The sequence below is a fragment of the Homo sapiens genome, chromosome 17 (assembly GCF_000001405.40).
Source record: "Homo sapiens chromosome 17, GRCh38.p14 Primary Assembly".
Lineage (NCBI taxonomy): Eukaryota > Metazoa > Chordata > Mammalia > Primates > Hominidae > Homo > Homo sapiens.
The window spans coordinates 9318295-9340012 of record NC_000017.11 but is presented as its reverse complement, the minus strand read 5'-3'; the positions used below and the strand labels follow the sequence as shown (position 1 = coordinate 9340012).

The following is a 21718-nucleotide window of genomic DNA, read 5'->3' as shown; positions in this document are numbered from 1 at the left end:
CTTAGAGTCCTACCTTCAAGTTGCTTAAAGTCCAGCAGGAGAGAGAAAGAAACACCACAATCATGCTCATACAAGACAGAATCTCATCAGTGTTTCTTAGCTCCTAAATGACCAACTTAAAGCATTCATAATAATAGTCAGAGTAAGCAGTATCCATGGCGCTTTCAAAGATACATAATGTCTCTTTCGGTCCTTACGCCAATTCTGTGGGAAAGTTTGATTCCAGTCTTGTCTGTCTTATATATGTGATGACAGAAGCCGGGCACATTCCTGTCTCATAAAGAAAAAGCCCTTTCTGAGCATAGGCCAATAGACAGAGTACACAGCAGGAATGAGGAGTCCTTTTTTTTTTAGATGGTGTCTCACTCTGTCGCCCAGGCTGGAGTACAGTGGCGCAGTGGCGCGATCTCGGCTCACTGCAACCTCCACCTCCTGGGTTCAAGGAATTCCCCTGCCTCAGCCTCCCAAGTAGCTGGGATTACAGGCACCTGCCATGACGCCTGGCTAATTTTTTGTATTTTTAGCAGAGACAGGGTTTCACCGTATTAGCCAGGACGTTCTCGATCTCCTGACCTCGTGATCCACCTGCCTCGGCCTCCCAAAGTGCTGGGATTACAGGCGTGAGCCACTGCACCCGGCCTGAGGAGTCCTTTTATACTGGAGTTAATTAAGTTCCTAGAAGTTTTCTTGATTGGTTGGTTGGTTTTTGGAAGCATTTTGATTAGTTATGTAATCAAGAATGAGTAGAGAGAGGAATTTAAAACACTTCGTTTACTTGTCTCCCTGAGCAGCCGCATGCCAAGGTTGTAGACAGAGGTGCGGTGTCTGATTCTAGGGTTTCTGGGATGGCTCTGGGTCTCAGGATGCTGTAGTCTTATACTGTGATTCTCTGGCTTTCATATTTAAGAGCTTCACCTGGAATTTTTTTTTTTTTTTTTTTTTGAGACGGAGTCTCGCTTTGTCAACCAGGCTGGAGTGCAGTGGCATGATCTCTGTTCACTGCAAGCTCCGCTTCCCGGGTTCACGCCATTCTCCTGCCTCAGCCTCTGGAGTAGCTGGGATTACAGGCACCCGCCACCACAACCAGCTAATTTTTTGTATTTTTAGTAGAGACAGGGTTTCACTGTGTTAGCCAGGATGGTCTCGATCTCCTGACCTTGTGATCCACCCGCCTCAGCCTCCCAAAGTGCTGGGATTACAGGCGTAAGCCACGTCATCTGACTGGAATGTTTTTTAAAATGCAAACATCTGGGCCCCACACACAGAGATACCGATTCAGGGGGTCTTGGGCCTTGGAAATTGATTTTATTAAATACCCTCAGATGATCCTGAAATAGGTGGTCCTTGGAAACTGTTCTTTGAAAAGCTATGCTGTATCAGTAGAAGAGAGTAGACAAAAATCTCACTGCAGAAATGGAGTGGCCATGACAAAGACCATGTGAGTGGTCCATCCACAGTGCTGCAGGAGTTGAGGGTTGAGAAACAGATCAGTTCCAGCCACCATGACTGGAAGAGACTTGAGTTAGCACAGACAAAATGGGTGGACTCTTGGTAGTTTGAAATGAGTAAGGAATTACTCAGGAGTGGAATGAGCTGAAGCACCATGTGTCTTCAGGGGATCTGATCAAGTCACTCCTCAGTTTAAAAACCCTTCAGAATACCTGGACGCTGTGGCTCACGCCTGTAATCCCAGCACTTTGGGAGGCTGATGTAGGCGGATCACCTGAGGTCAGGAGTTTGAGACCAGCCTGGCTAACATGGTGAAAACCCATCTCTACTAAAAATACACAAGTTAGCCGGGCGTGGTGGCGGGCACCTGTAATCCCAGCTACTCTGGAGGCTGAGGCAAGAGAATAATTTGAACCCGGGAGGCGGAGGTTGCAATGAGCCAAGATCACACCATTGCACTCCAGCCTGGGCGACAAGAGTGAGACTCCATCTCAAAAAAAAAAAAAAAAAAAAAATCCTTCAGAGGTGCCCCAAAGCCCTCAGAATAAAGTCCAAACTCCTCAGCACTGGTTTCCGTAGCCTAGCAGGATCTAGTCTCAGGCCGAATCTTCCTTCACTTCCTTCCCCGTTGGCCACACTGCACCCTTTCTCAATACACACTTTCTTTTTCTCTTCCATGGACTAGGATCCAGCCACCCTGAACAGTTGGCATCCCTGGCTTTCCTTTATTTTGGTGGCCTTGTACACATTCCCGCCTCTACCCAGAATACCTGCCCTCTTTTCTATCCCGCATTTCCCTTCACTAACTTTTCAGTCCTTCAGGGTTGATTTGGGATGGTATGTCCTCCAGAACAGCACAGACGCAGTATCTGGGGATCTTGTTAATACGCAGGTTCTGGCCGGGCACAGTGGCTTACGCCTGTAATCCCAGCACTTTGGGAGGCCAAGGCGGGCAGATCACCTGAGGTCAGAAATTCGAGATCAGCCTGCCCAACATGGTGAAACCCCGTCTCTACTAAAAATACAAAAATTAGCGGGGCATGGTGGCGTGTGCCTGTAATCCCAGCTGAGGCAAGATAATCGCTTGAACCCAGGAGGTGGAGGTTGCAGTGAGCTGAGATTACACCACTACACTGTAGCCTGGGCAACAGAATGAGACTCGATCTCAAAAAAAGAAATAAAATAAGAGATGGCAGAGGAGAGTAAGTGGTCCCTAGGATTTTGAGGAGTATACTACTTGGCTCATCCTCTATCCCAGTATGGACATTGAAATAAGTTATCAACCTCCTTTGAAATACTAATGAGCTCTTTTTCTTCCACAACTCAAGCAGTGTTTTGTATTCTGGGAAAAAGCCTTTTCTCTTTAATTTTTGTGCTTCAAAGTTTCTTTTTTAAATGGATGTATATTTTCCTGTGGAATTCTCAAGATAGTTTTTCATGTGTGTTTGTAGGGACGACATGTTTTAGAAATTTCTTTCCAATCCTCTTAGGCATTGTCTGAGAGTTTTTCTGACGTGTAAAGCTCTCAGTTCCCTTTTATTGTTTCCTGAGCTGTTAGGACTACCTCATTCCATTTTACTTTAAACTTAACATTTTCCAGGGAATGATTGGAATTGAAATAGGCATTCATTCAAATGTTCAGAACTTCATTTCTCCTGCACCCACTTCTGGCTGTGGCCTTGTAGGAATAAGAATGGAAACTAACAAAAAGTGATAATAAAAGGGGAAGACCTTGGTGAGTAAATATCAAACATACCATTTCACCCTGAAGCTTTTTTTTTCTAGCTATATTTACTACCCCTCTAAATACCCAGTTAGAAATTGAAAGTAGGCTGGGCACGGTGGCTTACACCTGTTATCCCAGCACTTTGGGAGGCCGAGGTGGGTGGATCACAAGATCAGGAGTTCGACACCAGCCTGGCCAATATGGTGAAACTCCATCTCTACTAAAAACACAAAAATTAGCTGGACGTGTTGGCGGGCGCCTGCAGTCCCAGCAACTCGGGAGGCTGAGGCAGGAGAATTGCTTTAACCTGGGAAGCGGAGGTTGCAGTGAGCTGAGATCGTGCCACTGCACTCCAGCCTGGGACACAGAGTGAGACTCCATCTCAAGAAAGAAAGAAGGAAGGAAGGGGAAGGAAGGAAGGGGAAGGAAGGGAGGAAGGGGAAGGGGAGAAAGAAAGGAAGGAAAGGAAAGAAAGGAAAGAAATCTAAAGTATTGTCTATTTTCCTCATTCCTGGCATGGTCGTTTTGCACCTATCCACCTGTGAAGTTGTTCTTGGCAGATGGATCTTGATCATTCCTTTAGGCTTCTACTCCCTAGCAGAAAGCATTTTCACCCTGGTTTGCATTCAGCACTTGCTTTTCTACAAGGTGTTGAATCCTCATACCGATAAAGTTCATAAGTCACATTAGAAGGGGTTTGAAATGCTAATTCACAGCTGTTGACAGGTATGAATTCCCATCAGCCTGGAATGTTTCGCCTATTCAAAGTAATAGAGCATCCTTGAATATAATCTCTTTTAAAACCCAGAAATGTGATACCTGGTTGCTTCAAGCTAAGAAAGAGAAAACTTCCCTGAGATGCCCAGAGCAGTTTTGTCTCAAGAAATCAATAAACACATAGCCATATAACCCCCCAGAAATGTTCCTATAGAGCTTTATGTATAGCTTTAGGTATTTATGTTCATGTGAGTATATTTACGTGAGTGTGAGTGTGTGTGTGTGTGTCTACGTGTGTGTGTGTGTGAGAGAGAGAGAGCCCACCTTGAATGCCATGGTTGTATTAGTGTAACTATAATTTATTTTTCGAAATTCTTGAGGTAAAGATCTAGCTCATATATTATCTTTTTTAAAAAAACTTATTGAAGGTTATTTCTGATTTTAAAAAATAATCAATTTACTGTAGAAAAATGGTACCATAAAGAACAATAAACAAAATAAAAATTCACTTCCTACAAATCATGACTACTAACAGTTTGGGTGTATCTTTCCAGTTTTTTTTCTATGAATGCATATAGCGTGTCTACATGTGCTGTGGTTTGAATGTCTCTGCCAAAACTCACATTGACATTTGATTGCCATTATGATGGTCTTAAGAGGTGAGACCTTTAAGAGGTGATTAGATCATGAGGGCCGTGCCCTCATCAGTGGATTAGTGCTGTTATCACCAAGTGGGTTACTTATGTTAGAAATAAATTTTCAGTGCCGCAAAAGAAATAGCACTCAAACATAAATTTAATTTTCTCAGCAAGGCAATTTTACTTCTGTAGAAGAGTGTGACTTGCAGATGGAGCAATGGTGAGAGCACAGCTGAACAAGAGAGGGGAAGGGGTTTTTATTCCTGACGCAGGTAACCCCTGCTGCTGTGTTGTTCCCCTATTGGCTAGGGTTGGATCACACAGTCTAAGCTAATTCCGATTGGCTATTTTAAAGAGAGCAGGGGTATGAGTCAGAGTGGTGGGGTGAATAGTTTGATGGGAAGAACAGTTAGGAACAGGTGACTCAGGTCAGAGCAGGTGACCAGGGGTGACTCAGATCGAAGCGGTGACCAGGAAATAGATGTGAACTACTGATTAGAAATGGTGGAAAAGGTTGTTTACTGAAACTAGGGGCAAGGAGAATGAGAAAGTTAAACTTTAAAATGGAGAACAAAGAACTGAACATACTGACATACTGATTCTTTGACGGGAAATTTAGAACTCACTGTATTTAACACTTATCAAGGGAATTCAGCCCCCTTTTCCTGTCTGTCTTATGTGCTCATTTATGCCTTCCACCCTTCCACCTGGTTTGACCCTCATCAGAGTGCCATGTTCTTGTACTTCCCAGCCTTCAGAACCATGAGCCAAATAAATTCTTCCATTGATAGATGCCTAGTCTGTGATATTCTGTTATAGCAGCAACAAAACTAAGCAAACATGTATTGTCTTTTTTATTCCTTTCAACCATTTTGGGATCATATCCTGCATACTTCGAGACTTACTTTTCTCACTTCCCAAGCCGAAACCGCCTTTGCAAAATTATGACTGAGACAGTGAAAGAGGTCCAATTTAAACGACTCCATCTTGCCTCTAACCTCCAAGCTGTCCTTGTTCATTCCTGGGTTTAGGCTGAACTAACGTTGGGAGAAACTTAGTTTATAGTTTTAAAAGTTTAAAACAAAGATGATAGTAGCTCTTTTCCAGAAAAAATTTCCTTCTTGCCTGGGGACTAGACTACTAACATTAACCACAAGATTATAAGTTATGCTTTAGGAGTCATGTAGCTGGAGACTACAAGATTCTGGCCCTCCCTAAACTGCTCCTACAGTCAGGACTTGAGATGGTTTCCAGACTCTACCCTTGATGGATCAACCGGCACCACCCAGATTGAGAAACCAGCCCATCTGATCTTGTGACTGCCCCCCACCCCCACACCCCCCCGCACCCAGGAACTGACTCAGTGCAAGAAGACAGGGACGACCCATGATTTCACCTTCGACCCAACCAATCAGCACTCCCCAGCTCACTGCCCCTCCCCTCCCACCAAATTGTTTTTTAAAACCTTGATCCCCAAATGTTCAGGGAGACTGGCTTGAGTAATAATAAAACTCCAGTCTCCTGCTCAGCCGGTTCTGTGATAATTACTGTTTCTCTATTGCCATTCCCCTGTCTAGAGAAATCGGCTCTGTCTAGGCAGCAGGTAAGGTGAACCCACTGGGCAGTTACAAATTGGGTAAGGTGAACCCATTGAGCAGTTAGGCAGTCTGAAAAATTTCTATGTCTTCCATGTTTTCCAACAAAATGACTGTGTAACTTTTAAAAAACATGTGTGTGTTATATCTATTTACATGACCTCCTGCTTGAAGCAAGTGTTTATTATAAGTTATTTTAGGCCAGGCGCCGTGGCTCACGCCTGTAATCCGAGCACTTTGGGAGGCCAAGGCGGGCGGATCACAAGGTCAGGAGATCCAGACCATCCTGGCTAACACAGTGAAACCCCATCTCTACTAAAAAAATACAAAATATTAGCTGGGCGTGGTGGCGGGCGCCTATAGTCCCAGCTACTCGGGAGGCTGAGGCAGGAGAATGGCGTGAACCCGGGAGGCGGAGCTTGCAGTGAGCCGAGATCATGCCACTGCACTCCAGCCTGGGTGACAGAGCAAGACTCTGTTTCAAAAAAAATAAAATAAGTTATTTTAATTTGAAAGCTAGAGGAACAGAAAACCAAATACCATGTGTTCTCACTTATAAGTGGGAGATACACATTGAATACACATGGACATAAAGATGGGAACAAAAGACATTGGGGACTATTGTGGGGGAGAGAGGGAGGGGAGCAAAGGCTGAAAAACCACCTATTGGATACTGTGCTCACTACCTCGCTGAGGGGATCATTCGTACCTTAAACCTCAGTGTCACACAATATACCCATGTGACAAATCTGTATATGTACCTCCTGAATCTAAAAATTGAGATTATTATTTTTTAATCCCAAAAGAAAGCACAGTTAAAAAAGAATTGAAAGCTGGAAGCGACAGGAAACTTGGACGCATATCTTCATTCTCGGTAGGGGAATACTCTGCTTTAAGAAGTATTGTGTCTCGTTCTCATCTTGAAGCCCTTGGGCGTGGCAGCTGAAAGCTTTTAAAGATGGGATGCATTTCCCCAAAGGTAGCCAAAAATATCATTACCTCCCTAGGCAAATACGTCTTGGGTGCTAGGCACTGTGTTGGGTGAGGTAGGATACAATGGTGGTCCCTGCCCTCAGGGAGCTTATATTGCAGTTGGGGGAGGGAATCGAGATAGTAAACAGTAAGCAGGCACACATAAATGTAATAATTACCAATTGTGTTACAGTCTAGACAGCCAGAAGGCCCTCTGGATGTAGAGACTCTGAAAAAGGATCCAGTTCTGCATTACTGATTTTATTAACATCGTTAAGATTGTCACTAGACAATGGTTTGAATAACATAAGAATGTTTAAGCATTTATGACAGATGACTGAAACATAGCACCATTAGCTCCATTTGGATGAATTATAAAATAGTCTCCAGTTCCTTGGAACCTTGGGAGAAGTGAAATGTCATTACAGATCTAGGTCTCTAGAAGAAGAAAGCCGCTATTTTTGTCCCTTCCTTTTGTGAATCTTGTCTTCCTTACTTGGTGGATGATGTTGGTTAAGTTAACCAAAGGCAGCACGTCGATCTGATGATTTGTTAACTCCGTCCGCATTGTTCATTGGTGTTTTGGATGAGGGGGAAATGATGAGATCTCTGCCTCTGAGTCATTCTCCCTGACTCCAACTCAACCCTCGTTCCAATTTGCCCATTTCCCATTATGGAGCAGAAAAGACTGCTTAAGGCCTGGTTTATTTACCTAATAAACTGGCTCTTGTATTGCCTGGGAAATGCTAAAATTTTTCAGCTAAGAAATCCTAGTAACAAGCAAACAGAGGTCCAGCAGTCAGGACTGAAGAAACAACAAAATGAAGGTCAGCTAATATCGCCATTATTCTCCTTCCTGGTGGCCATGACAGCGCTGGGGTTTATTTGAAGATCCCAGACTCGGAATCATTGCCCGCATTGTTAGCCGCCCAAGTATTTTAGGCTGTGCCAACAGTTTCAGATATTAATGTATTCTACAGATCCGTGAATGAAGAATTCCTCTGCACTTTTTTCCCTTTTAATTTTTTTTTTCCTTTCCATACACTTTGTTTGCAGTGTCTTTGTCTGCCAGACGTTGCTGGGCATTTCTAATGAGAAAGCAAAGAATTGCAGAAGGAAAAAGGCAGAGAGGGGGGAGGGAGAGAGAGAACAGGCGGAGGAAAAACAGGGCGTGTTTAGCACTTTAACAGTAAGGTGACATTTTTACAAGCTAGTCAGGTGCACAGGACTCATTGGGGAAAGCAGCATTGGCGATGCAAATTGAGAGCGGAAAGCACATTTTTTGGAAACGTCCAATTCATTGATTAGCTTCTCCCAACAAAAACGCACTTTTATTTTTGAACATCATTTTCCCTGCAGGACACCCGGCCTCGGTCCTGCTTTAGTATTCATCCCAGCTTCATTACTGCAGCCACCTCGCAACCCACCCTGGGCAGCTGCTAAAAGGGGGAAAAATTAAAGCAATTCATACTCCTGGTGACTTACTGCTGCAGAATAATTGGTTTCTGTTTGCAAGGAACATTATCACAGCAAAGCCCAGAAAACAGAAAGGTCTGTCTGAGAGAGGGTTTCTGGGGCTAGGGTGGAGGGGGAGGGGAGGGAGGGATGTGAAAAATCACATTTCTGAAAAGGCAATTAGCTAATAATTAATTTTTTAATATCGTTGCGTAACAGGATGTGTCCTTATGTGATATATGTACATATGCTGGTTTCGTAGCGTATCCTTTGATACCTCATGGAAATGGTAATGAGACTAAACCAGTTAAAGAGCTCTTTAGACAGCACAGTGCTTTGGGGAAGGCCGGAATGAAATGCAGGCCCTCTGAGGGCTTCTCCGACACACAAGAAGTCCCTTTGTTTCCTGTTTTATAAACCAGAGGCATGTCTAAAATTGCAGGGAAAGTGAGAGGGGGTTGAAGAGTTGGCGCCGGAGGCCTGGCTTTCTATATTTAAAAAGAGAAAAAATTGCTAGCTAGTTATTCGTGCCTGGATTTGATAGGCAGTCTAGGCTGTTTTTGAAGTTCTGAAGGAAGGTTCTCTGAAGATGTAAGCGGGATCTGTCTTTCACTTAGACTTAATTAAGAAACTTGCTGGCTTTGTCTGTAGGGGGCCCATTACGCGCAAGCTGCAGCCCCCTCTGAATAGGGGCTCAGCCTGGAAAGTGTATACAAGCCATACCGCCTTTGTGTTGTGTTGCCAAACTGGAGGCAGGAGCGAGTGCGAACGAGGCTCTGCCAGGGGCCATCCCTTGTTGTTCGTAAACGTGAACCCACGTCCCAAACAGAAAGCCGAAGCCAGTGCACGGGCATTCCTGAGGGACCTAGAACTAATAAACCTTTTAGAAAATGGTGATCATCAACAAAAAAGTGGTAGGGGGCAGAAGAGTGTGTATCTTGTTCCCCAGAGCCCTGTTCATACATCGCAAGGATGGACTAACACCAGGGTAACCAGCATCCTCGGAGGCTTTGTGTGTAGACCGGGTTGGGGGGTGGGAGTGGTTAGAGCCTGGCTCCAGGCACAACCTCACTCCCAACTTGATTCCATCCAGGCCAGGGCCTAATTTTGCCTTGGTCGCTGTTCTTGTAACCTTGAGAATAATTTCCCCCTGGTGGGCTACTGTGGCCTACCCTATTTAGAACAAAGTTGCTGAATGCTGGAGAATAAAGAACAGTTGGAAGGCTGTGAGCAGTGGTTAATCAGCTAATTCGCATTTCAAAAGACACTAATAAGAGGTGATAAATTCAAATAAAGCCCTGGGTATGAGTACTTTACTCACTTGGGAAAGCTTACGGAGGGACTCTGCCTCCTGTTTCTCTCTCCCTGCCCATCCTCTCCCTTTCCCTTTGAAGCCGCGGGACCTCCCAGGGTATCGCACCTCTGCCCTCTGCTCCCCTCTGAGCAAGGGGCCTGCACACCTTCACCTTCCTCTTAGCTATGACCAGCTGCACCCTCTGCCTCAGGATCAGCACGCTTCGGGGTCTGCTGCTTCCAATCTGACCCTAGGCCCTCTGAGCCCTCTCCCTCCCCTCCACCCTATTGCCCTTACAGGATCCAACCTCTTCCCTCCCAAATAAATGACAGCTGCCTTATTCCCTCATCTCTGCCTCTTTCCCTGCTCTATCATGTCTGGCAGCCCTTGGCCAACTCTGTCCAGTTGCCATTTGCTTGGCTGTGACGGGCTCCTACCGCTCACTTTGGCATTACTTTGCCTCAGGCAGGCAGCTCCAGCTGCAACGGCCTGAGTGGTCCGATGGGACTCGAAGTGGCTCTGCATCCTCCCCCATTTGGCACCGAAGCTTTTCTGCCTCTGCTCACATGCCTGCCATTCAGACCCAGGTGGGTGGGCTACATTGTGGGCTTTCCAGGGGATTCTTCATAATTGGGTCTTTCTGCTCTTAACACGCTCATGGCCCTGTCCTGGATCCAGTGTCCCTCACCCAGTGACTGGAAAATCACCCAGCCAGCCAAGTGGCACTGTAGAAATAGCCGTGATGCCAGAGAGCGAGTGATTTAGTTTCAGCCAGGAGTTCATTTCAAGTGTTGGAAAATGAGCTGGTCCTGACTCTCTTTTCTCTTCCTTCAGCCCTTAGCAAAATGTAGAATATTGTTGCCATTGATTGAACATGCCTATAAAAGGAGGTGAAAGTAATTTCCTGTAGCATCCTCAATGCAGATGTTTGGCACTTTGGTTGTTTTTGGTTTTCGTGTTTTGTTTTCGCTATGGCCATAATGTTTCTGTGGGAACTTTTCTAGGTAGTCTGTAGATTTCAGAATCCCAGAGCACCTTAGTCCCATTATGCTCTGGGAATTCATTAGGGACTCAGACACCATCTTTTTTTTTTTTTTTTTTTTTTTTTTTTTTTTTGAGATGGAATCTCGCTCTTGTCGCCCATGCTCAAGTGCAGTGGCGCGATCTCAGCTCACTGCAACCTCCACCTCCTGGGTTCAAGTGATTCTTCTGCCTCAGACTCCTGACTAGCTGGGACTACAGGTGCCTGTCACCACAGCCGGCTAATTTTTGTACTTTTAGTAGAGATGGAGTTGCACCATGTTGGCCAGGCTGGTCTTGAACTCCTGTCCTCAGGTGATCCACCCGTCTCAGCCTCCCAAAGTGCTGGGATTACAGGCGTGAGCCACCGCATCCGGCCTCAGCCACCATCTTAATTACATGTCTGAAGGAATGACATTTTATATTTGGCCATGAGTGAGGTGGATTTCCCTGAACTTTAGCCTTGACAATTTGATGACAGTTAGGGATATCCTTACAGCCCTAAGAGGGCCATTGACCCTGAACAGTACAACTGGGAGCTGGCCAACCTCAGCGTTTGTCACCCGTGATCAAGTCTTTCTGCTTAGCACACACTGTGGTTTTCAGTAGCATCTTTTGTTGAATGCTATTCAGATCCTGAATTATTCATAAAGGATTCCCACGTTCAGAAGGAGTGTGGACCAGATGACCTTGTTGGGGCTCGGAAAACGATGACCCAAAGTGTAGCACTTTGGCATGCTGAGTACTTTGAACTGAAGGACTTTGGAAGGGCCTCAAAGGCTGTCTCTTTCTGACCCTCTCCTGCTCTTCTTTTTCTTCCTTCCCTTTTCCCCAAGACAGGCCACAGAAAGTAGAATCCCTCTTCAAGGCAGGCCATAGAAACTAGAACCCAACTTCTCCAATACCAGCCACAAAAACCTAGGTATATAACTCTAACCTATCACCACCTTTCTGTGTAAGAGCTGGTTATAAATAAATTCTCTGGAGGTGGAGGATCAGTTGAGGCCAAGAGTTCAAGACCAGCCTGGGCAACATAGTGAGATCTAGCTCTGAAAGAAAGAAAGAAAAGAAAAGAAAGAAAGAGAGAGGGGGTGGGGGGAGAGGAGAGAGAGAAAGGAGGAAAGAGAAAGAATGAGAGAGAAGGAAAGAGAGAGACAAAAGAAGGAAGGAAGGAGGGAGAAGGAAAGAAGGAAGGAGAGGGAGGAAGGAAGGAAGGACAGAAGGAAGAAAGGAAGGAAAGGGAGGGAGGGAGGGAAGAAGGGAAGGAAGGAAAAAAGAGAGGAAGGGAGGAAGGAAGGAGAAAAATTAGCTGGGTGTGGTGGTGCACACCTGTAGTCCCAGTATTCAGGAGGCTGAGGCAGGGGGATCACTCAGGCCCAGGAGGTGGAGGCTGCAGTGAGCCGTGATTGCACCACTGCACTGCAGCTTGGGCGACAGAGTGAGACTTCATCTCAGAAACAGAAAGAAAAAAATTCTCTGCCCTACCTTGTCTAAAAGTAGGACATAAGACCCCTGTTTCCAGAGAGGTCCTGCCCTGTACCCAGGTGGAAGGAATGCCACACAGAGAGACCAGGAAGAATCCAAACAGACGGGCCTTACTGTGCTTCCCCTCTCTGTCCATCAACATTAGATCATACCCCTTGTTGTCCAGTCACATTTCTACATAGCTGTCCATTCACATCCAACCTAAGCATAGAAATAGACAGTTTTCCCTGAGTCTTTGGATCTTCTTTTTCTTCTTCTTCTCCTTCTCCCTCTCCCCCTCCTTCTCCTCCTTCTCCCTCTCCCTCTCCTTCTCCTCCTCCTCCTTCTCCTTCTCTTCTCCTTCTTCCTTCTTCTTCTTTCTTTCTTCTTCTTCTTTCTTCCTTCTTCCTCCTTCCTCCTCCTCCTTCCTCCTTCCTCCTCTGTCCTCCTTCCTCCTTCTTCCTCCTTCTTCCTCCTTCTTCCTTCTTCCTTCTTCTTCCTTCTTCTTCTTCTTTTTTTTTTTTTGAGACAGAGTTTAGCTCTTGTTGCCCAGGCTGGAGTGCAATGGCGTGATCTCGGCTCACTGCAACCTCCGCCTCCCAGGTTCAAGCGATTCTCCTGCCTCAGCCTCCCGAATAGCTGGGATTACAGGCATGCACCATCACGCCCGGCTAATTTTGTATTTTTAGTAGAGATGAGGTTTCTCTGTTGGTCAGGCTGGTCTTGAACTCCCGACATCAGGTGATCTGCCCGCCTCAGCCTCCCAAACTGCTGGGATTACAGGCGTGAGCCACCATGCCCAGCCATTAGATCTTCATTTTTGAAGGCTCCTGTGTCAAGTAAAACACTGATTAAATAAATCTGTTATGCCTCTGTCTTCTTAACCCATCCTTGTTATAGGAATGTCAGCCATGACCCTGCTAATGGGTGAGGAAAGATATTGTGCCTTTCCACCCATGCAGTCTCCCATGTCCCTTCTGTGTTGGAATGCATAAGCACTAGTGTCTTATCACCAGGGACATGTGGCCGACAAGTTCTGCCTCAGGACACAGGACCCATTTTCTGCCTCTCAGCCAAAGGATGATCAGGGTCGTAACTCCACCAGAGTCCAACTTTATATCAGAAAAAGCTCGTAGCTATGAGCAACAGAAACCATCTCTGACCACATAAGTGCAAAAGGAATTTATCGAAAGAACACTGAGTAATTTGAAAAGCAAATCACCAAGAAGACTAGATGAACAGGCTAGAAAACAGGGAAGGAAGCTGGGCACAGTGGCTCACACCTGTCATCCTGGCGCTTTGGGAGGCTGAGGCAAGCAGATCACTTGAGCCCAGGAGTTTGAGACCAGCCTGGGCAACACGGTGAAACCCTGTCTCTACAAAAATTATCCAGGTATGGTGACAGGCACCTGTAGTCCTAGCTACTCGGCAGGCTGAGGTGGGAGAATCACCTGAGCCCAGGAGGTCAAGGCTGCAATGAGCCATGATCGTGCCACTGCACTCTAGCCTGGATGACAGAGTGAGACCCTGTCTCAAAAAGAAAAAAAAAAAAAGGAAACAGGGAAGAACCAAAGGTGGCTAAAACCAAGACTGCAACCTCATCACAGACCCATCTAGTGGAGGATCTCATTGACACACTGCTGGATGCCTCCCGACCCCCAACCTTTTCCCACTAGCTAGCATGGCTAGCGCTGGACACCAGAGACCATAGCTGGGGGCTGCCATTTATGTCCCTAGATAATTGATGCCACTGCTGCCATCACCAAAGTGAATTTTCCACTCTCCTTTCATACTTTAAGCATTGCACACTCCAGAGTCATTGCACCTGGCTGGCCACGCTCTAGCTGGTAGGAAGGCTGAGGAATGCCAGTATCTGGCCCATGTGGCCCTGCCTCTTGCCAAGACCCGTATGGTGAAGCGTTCCTCAAATGTAAGAAATGGGTTCAGCTGGAAAGCAAACACATGTTCACTGCAAACTTCCAGTCTACTGGGAAGTATTTGCCAAAGATGGAAACCTTCCTGAGCTCTTCCCACTGAACCAAGTGACTTTACCCAGGACCAACTATGTAATTCGCGCAGCCCATCGCAAAATGAAAATGCAGGGCCCCTTGTTCGGAAATTATCAAGAATGTCAAGATGGCAACAGCAGAGTGTTGAATCAAGCATGGGCCCCCTTTAACATGGGAACCCTGTGTCATCTCTGAGGGTCACACACCCATAAAGCTGGCCCTAGCTTTACCTTAACAGGGCCACAAGTCCATAGATGGGTCTTGGGGATTTCCTGATATAGATAGGGTTTCATTCATACACTATACATACCTTATAAGCCCTTATGAATAGTTTGGTTTATCACCATAGGAATAAACTATGGTTGGTTTATTCCTATTCACAACTTGAGGTATAACTATAATTACAGATGCTCTTTGACTTATGAGGGGGTTATGTTCTAATAAACCCATCTTAAGTTGAAAATATCGTTAAGTTGAAAACGCTTTTAATACCCTTAATCTATTGAACATCATAGCTCGGCCTAGCCTATCTTCAAGGTGCTCAGAACACTTACATTAGCCCACAGTTGTGCAAGATCATCTGGCAACACAGTACATCACAGAGTACAATACTGGTTGTTTACTCCCATGATCATGTGGCTGGCTGGGAGCTGTACTTGCTGCTGCCACCTGGCATCACAAGAGAGTACTATACCACATATCACTAGCCCAGGAAAATAACAAAATTCAAAATTCAGTTTCTACTGAATGCATATTGCCTTTGCATCATCTCGAAGTCAAAAATTTGTAAGTGGAACCATGGTCAGGGACCATTCGTATCCCTGTTATAGTCAGAGCAACTGAGGCCAAATAAGAGTGGAGCTGTGATGCTGACCCAGCTCTTCTCTTTTTTTTTTTTTTTTTTTTTTGAGATGGAGTTTTGCTCTTGTCACCCATGTTGGAGTGCAGTGGTACAATCATGGCTCACTGCAACCTTCACTTCCCGGGTTCAAGCAGTTCTCCTGCCTCAGCCTCCCGAGTAGCTGGGATTACAGGTGCCTGCCACCACGCCCAGCTAATTTTTTTGTATTTTTAGTAGAGACAGGGTTTCACCATGTTGCCCAGGCTGGTCTCGAACTCCTGACCTCAGGTGATCCTCCTACCTCAGCCCCCCAAAGTGCAGGGATTACAGGCAGGAGCCACCGCACCTGGCCTCTTCTGACTCTTAGGTTTCCCTTTCTTTACACCCCATCACACTGCGCACCAGGAGCTCACAGGGTGGAGAACTGTCAGCATCCCCTGGAATGTGCGCCATGTTCTCTAGGTATCACCCTCCAGAGTTGTTAATTTGGAAAAAAGACCACTCACTCAATTTCAAATGAGACTTTGCTTTTCACTTCCAAGAACTGCACTGCAGGAAGGAAGAGCAGCGTTTGTGGGCTGGTACCTGGATGACCATCATGCTCTAGTTCCTTAATTAAAAACAAAGCACAGACTTTCTTGTACATACACGTACAACTGGAGTGTGTGTTTGTGTTTGTGTGTGTGTGTGTGTGTGTGTGTGTGTGAGAGAGAGAGAGAGAGACAGAGAGAGAGAGAGAGAGAGAGGGATGCCCTGAGACCTTGAGCAAGTCTTTTACTGAAATTCCCATTGCTTCAGTTTTCTCATCTGTTAAAATCTTTGGCCATGATGTCAGATCCACAAATAGGACCGATGCCTCTCCGCCCCACTGCGCCTGTGTCCCATTCCCCCAGCAGGTACCACCTCATTCTTGGGATCAGGGCTCACCTCCAGCACCTGCGTGCATTCCCATTCTTCTCGTTCCCTTTCTGCCACCTGCTCTGGTCCTCATTGTCCCGTTTGGGCCTAACTCCTTGAATGCCCAGCATATGGACTCTGCCAACTCCTGCTAATCTCCACTTCTATCAGCAAGACGCTCAGGACAGGCCTCCTCTCTTCACAGTGTTGTCTAGAGCATTCTGGAGTAACGCAATCTCCCTTCCTTTCTCTCTTCTCTTCATTTTTTCTCCAGTGCTGTGTGCGTATGTCTTTTTCTCTTTCTGGTGCCCTGAGAGTCTACCACGGTGCCTTGTACAGAGAGGCATTCGGTGATCCCACCGTGATCCCACCGTTCTTCTGATTGCCTTCTGCAAGGTCCATCTCTGTCTCCTTTTCTGTTTTTCTAGCCTTTCTCACTTTCCTTTGCCTGGACACAATGTGAATTAAAGACATGTTTTAAGAATATTTGTGGTTTATAAAATACAGAGTTATTTGACGTGTTTTTAATTTAAAAATCATAGCTCTTGAAGAAAATATAGCTCTCTTTAAAAAGTTATAATGAGTTTAATTGATTCTTATTGCTATGTAGTCTTTAATTGATTTTTTCCCCCTAAGGTTTTCTTTTTTTCTATTTTAAACCCAAGGAAGGAGAAATTTCCAAGGGTTATTAGTTCATTAGCTGTTAGAAGGAATAATTGATCTGTCAACTCAAAGGATTTATAAGGATTTAGCTCACAAAATTCATGAAAGCATTGGCATCTGTTTAAGTTCTGCCTCAAAAGAAAACATTTTCTGAAGGGGCTTCTCTTTACTTTTTGCAAGATAAAAATTAGCATCTCTCTAGTGATGAAAAGACCCCCTATTTTTTAAGATCTTCTCAATCTTAAGGAACTACAGTGTTTGTACCTACACCTGAAAAAATCGGATATGTATTTTGACCACCGAAAGAATGGATCATAAATATTATAAAGTTTTTGGTTTCTTCCAGTGTGTGTGTTTGTGTTTTTTTTTTTCCTCATAAAAGGAATGGAATACAACTAACATTTCTTCAACTTCAAATGAGGGTTTTGCCTCTTTTTTTTTTTTTTTTTTTTTTTTTTAGCAAATGCACCCAAATTGGGTTTGGTTCACAAAGGAAAGACTGACTGCAGGGCTAACAGACCCATCATTAGCCATCCCTGCCCTCTTAAATGGCCTGTCCATTCCACTGCTCACAATATAAGACTAAGGCCGTAAACAAGGGATCCAAGAGAACTCTGGACAAGAAGCATACAATGCAGTGGGATAAATTTCTTTAGCATAAATAGCAGTCTCCAAGGGTGACTGGTGTGAATGGATCCCTGCTGTGAGGGTCTCTGTGCCTGCAGAGGAGATCTGTGGCTTTAAGAGCTCTGGTCCCACCCCCTGGGCTGTGGAAGTGCTCAGCGTCCCCTGCTGGGCTTGGTCCTCAGGCCCCCTGTGGGCCTCCTCCTTCCTTTCAAGCTGTGAGTCCTAAGGAACTCAGTGACAGCTCCTCTTTCATTCTGCTGTGCAAATCCTTGAGCTGTTCCTAGTGCTTTCAAAAGGAAAATATCAGACATTTTACTTATTCTGTCCAGCAGGACCATGGAAGTCTGGTGAGACCCAGGGTTATTCCGGCAGTGAGCCCAGGGGAGATCTTCCTCTTTGTAATGACCTAGAGTTGAAATTCCCTGAGATGACCGCTAACCCGCCATTTATACTTCCTCCATCCTTCACATCATGCCCTGTGGCATGTCATCTGGGTACTGCTGAGGACTTGTGTACTGCTGGCTGGGGTCTGGATAGCCCTGGGACGAACGTATTCTGATAGAAATAAGTGAATCCAATAGTACTTGTCAAAGGTTAATTTCTTAGCAGTCATGAGCCAAAAAGTTCAGGTTCCAGAGTACATGTTTACTCTGTGAAAATCTTTTAACACACTTAAATAATGCATCTACACAGTTTTAAACAAATCAGCTGGCCCCTGCCCCATCTCTTCTTATCCCCTGTCCTGATCTCCAGAGTCAATCAGTTTGAACCATTTTTCCTTTTCCTGTTTTTTGGCGATTATTTGCATATTAATAAATGGTATATTTATGCTGGGCATGGCGGCTCATGCCTGTAGTCCCAGCACTTTGGGAGGCCAAGGCAGGCAGATCACAAGGTCAGGAGTTTGAGAACAGCCTGGCCAACATGGTGAAACCCCGTCTCTACTAAAGATATAAAAAATTAGCCAGGGTGGTGGTGTGCACCTGTAATCCCAGCTACTCAGGAGGCTGAGGCAGGAGAACCGCTTGAACCTGGGAGGCGGAGGTTGCAGTGAGCTGGGATTGCGCCAGTGTACTCCAGCCTGGGCGACAGGGGGAGACTCTATCTCAATAAATAAATAAATAAGTAGTATATTTATATGTGTTATTTTTTTTCTTTTTCTATCTCAGCTCACTGCAAACTCCACCTCCTGGGTTCAAGCAATTCTCCTGCCTCAGCCTCCCAAGTAGCTGGGATTACAGGCATCTGCCACCACGCCCGGCTAATTTTTGTAGTTTTAGCAGAGACAGGGTTTTACCATGTTGGCCAGGCTGATCTCGAACTCCTGACTTCAGGTGATCTGCCCATCTTGGCCTCCCAAAGTGCTGGGATTACAGGCGTCAGCCACTGCGCCTGGCCTATTTTTGATTTTTCAACTTTAGACATTACCTATTGATTTCCTGATATAGATAGGGTTTCATTCATACGCTCTACATACCTCTCCCCTTTCCCATGTCGTTATTTTTATTCCTCTGTGTATTGCTATTGTAACTTTAATACACTTAAAGCTCTATTTCCTTTTCCTGTATCACTGATTATAGACAGTATGCCATCTCACCTTTCTTCTACCTCTTCTCTCGTCTCTCTGCCCTTCATTTCTATCAGCTGTTGATAACGTTTGCACTCCAATTTAACTAGAGTTAAGTTTTTTTTTTTTTTTGGAGGCCCCGTTGGGATCACAATTAAGATTTCTTTCTTTTTTTTTTTTGGAAAATAGTCTTGCTCTGTCCCAGGCTGGAGTGCAGTGGCATGATCTTGGCTCACTGCAACCTCCGCCTCCTGGGTTCAAGTGATTCTCCTGCCTCAGCCTCTTGACTAGCTGGGACTAGAGGTGCACGCCACCACACCCAGCTAACTTTTGTATTTTTTTTTTTTTAATAGAGATGAGGTTTCACCATGTTAGCCAGGCTAGTCTTGAACTCCTGATCTCAGGTGATCCACCCACTTTAGCATCCCAGAGTGCTGGGATTACAGGTGTGAGCCACCATGCCCGGCCACAAGGAAGATTTCTATACTGTACCTTTAAGTTGGTTCCAGAAGTTAAGAGCCAGTAAATAACTTTCATATTATTATGTGTATATGAATATTATACAGTGTAATACCAAGAAATGAGCTATGGTTAATGATATTTCCCTCCCTGTAATTCCCAAATCATAATCCTTGTGGTAATCAAAGGAGAATATTAACATTTATTGTCTTTTCTTCCCATCACTGGTTTCAAACCATGCCATGTTTTAATTTGCTAGCTTTTTTTGTTTTCTTTTTTTTTTTTTTGAGATGGAGTCTTGCTCTGTCACCCAGGCTGGAGTGCAGTGGTGCCATCTTGGCTCACTGTAACCTCCACCTCCCGGGTTCAAGCGATTCTCCTGCCTCAGCCTCCCCAGTAGCTGGGATTACAGGTGCGTGCCACCATGCCCAGTTATTTTTTGTATTTTTAGTAGAGACGGGATTTCACCATGTTGGTCAGGCTGGTCTTGAACTCCTGACCTCGTGATCTGCCCACCTCGGCCTTCCAAAGTGCTGGAATTACAGGTGTGAGCCACACAGCACCTGGCCAGTAAAATTTTTATTTTTTATTTTTTAAACATCACCTTTAGTATTTCCTAGAGTTTCCAGTTTGCTTTTATTTTATTTTATTTATTTATTTATTTATTTTTGAGATGGACTCTCACTATGTTGCCCAGGCTAGAGTGCAATGGCAAGATCTCAGCTCCTGCAACCTCTGCCCCCTGGGTTCAAGTGATTCTCCTGTCTCAGCCTCCCGAGTAGCTCGGATTACAAGTGTGTGACACCAGGCCTGGCTAATTTTTGTATTTTTAGTAGAGACAGGGTTTCACCATGTTGGTCAGGCTGGTCTTGAACTCCTGACCTCGTGATCTACCCACCTCGGCCTCCCAAAGTGCTGGGATTACAGGTGTGAGCCACTGTGCCTGGCCGGCTTTCATTTTATTTTGAAATTTTTTTCTGAACCGAATCTTCCTTTTTCCCTGGAGACCAAGATCCTCAAACCCTCTGGCTTCTTGTTCCAGTCTGGATGGGATATGACTGTAAATCTTGTTTCCTGTTGAATCAAATGATGTGCTGCTGTTGCATTTTCTGTATTGTATAACTTAAATTTTCCAGGTATCGATAATGCAGTTTTTTCTTTTCTTTAGTGTTTGTTTTGTTTTGTTTTTGTTTTTGTTTTTGAGACAGAGTCTTGCTGTGTCGCCCAGGCTGGAGTGCAGTGGCACAATCTCGGCTCACTGCAACCTCTGCCTCCCAGGTTCACGCCATTCTTCTGCCTCAGCCTCCTGAGTAGCTGGGACTACAGGCACCCGCCACCACACCCAGCTAATTTTTTGTATTTTTAGTAGAGACAGGGTTTCACTGTGTTAGCCAGGACGGTCTCGATCTCCTGACCTTGTGATCCGCCCGCCTCGGCCTCCCAAAGTCCTGGGATTTTCTTTAGTTTTTAATGCACTTGTGGGTAATTTTTTAATATATCAACATCTCTTAAAATGCTTCACAGTACTAATTTCCACGTGGAAAAATTCATCAGATAATCTCTAGGGGAATGTATTTATTCATTTATTTCTTTGGTTGTTTGCTAGTTTGTCATTTACTCTTTATTGATTTTCCTGGAGAGCTCCCTTCTACATGCTATCTTCTGCTCCAATCCGCACTGGCTCTGCACCCCTGTTTTGAGAACTGCTTGTCATTCTGGCATTTCTATTCATTGTTATCCTGTGTGATTATTCTGTTTCTCTGATCTCATTTTTTCCCTTTTATCACAGTTTTCACATTTTGTTGAACTATATTCTAAACCTTCTAAAACAGGGGGGCAAGAGTGGTATGCCTTATGAATTCTCACATGTGGAAAAATGCTTTATACCATCCTCATGCTTGATAGTTTTACTGGGTATAGAATTCTAAATAATAGTTTATCTTCGGAGCTTTAATGTCTGATCATCTCCAGTACTGATGAGAACTCTGACACGAGTCCAATTTGTTTGTGACCTGTTTTTATTTATCTTGTTACTGCCGTATTGTTCGTTTTTCACTCTGGAAGCTTTTAGGGCCTTTCTTTTGTTGCTGTTCTGAAATGTCAAAACATGGTTAGGGTGTGGGTCATTTACTTTCCAAGTGCTCTTTCTTATTCTAGATTATTCCTTCTCCATTGGATTCTGTCATTATTTTTATGGGTACAATATTTTTTTCTAGTTTCTTCAAGAATACTAACAAGAGTCTTCCACATGTTGTATTTTGTTTTCAAGTTCTCTTCTGTTATCAGAATTACTTCTGTGTCCTGGGTGGGGAACATCACACACTG

At 44.9% G+C, this 21718-nt stretch overlaps 1 protein-coding gene across 3 annotated transcripts in view, besides 5 other annotated features; it reads left to right on the top strand.

The window, feature by feature from the left end:
• Positions 1–21718, top strand: part of STX8 (syntaxin 8) — a 325350-nt gene that overhangs the window by 235808 nt on the left and 67824 nt on the right. The window lies entirely within an intron of this gene.
• Positions 8812–9317: an enhancer, noted in NCBI's record as "H3K4me1 hESC enhancer chr17:9234013-9234518 (GRCh37/hg19 assembly coordinates)". NCBI's record gives its function as "activates a minimal SCP1, AML or CMV promoter by ChIP-STARR-seq in naive and primed H9 embryonic stem cells {active_cell/tissue: H9 hESC(naive and primed)}" and the evidence as "EXISTENCE:reporter gene assay evidence [ECO:0000049][PMID:30033119]".
• Positions 9318–9823: an enhancer, noted in NCBI's record as "NANOG-H3K4me1 hESC enhancer chr17:9233507-9234012 (GRCh37/hg19 assembly coordinates)". NCBI's record gives its function as "activates a minimal SCP1, AML or CMV promoter by ChIP-STARR-seq in naive H9 embryonic stem cells {active_cell/tissue: H9 hESC(naive)}" and the evidence as "EXISTENCE:reporter gene assay evidence [ECO:0000049][PMID:30033119]".
• Positions 9824–10329: an enhancer, noted in NCBI's record as "NANOG-H3K4me1 hESC enhancer chr17:9233001-9233506 (GRCh37/hg19 assembly coordinates)". NCBI's record gives its function as "activates a minimal SCP1, AML or CMV promoter by ChIP-STARR-seq in naive H9 embryonic stem cells {active_cell/tissue: H9 hESC(naive)}" and the evidence as "EXISTENCE:reporter gene assay evidence [ECO:0000049][PMID:30033119]".
• Positions 10330–10835: an enhancer, noted in NCBI's record as "H3K4me1 hESC enhancer chr17:9232495-9233000 (GRCh37/hg19 assembly coordinates)". NCBI's record gives its function as "activates a minimal SCP1, AML or CMV promoter by ChIP-STARR-seq in primed H9 embryonic stem cells {active_cell/tissue: H9 hESC(primed)}" and the evidence as "EXISTENCE:reporter gene assay evidence [ECO:0000049][PMID:30033119]".
• Positions 17216–17717: an enhancer, noted in NCBI's record as "NANOG hESC enhancer chr17:9225613-9226114 (GRCh37/hg19 assembly coordinates)". NCBI's record gives its function as "activates a minimal SCP1, AML or CMV promoter by ChIP-STARR-seq in naive H9 embryonic stem cells {active_cell/tissue: H9 hESC(naive)}" and the evidence as "EXISTENCE:reporter gene assay evidence [ECO:0000049][PMID:30033119]".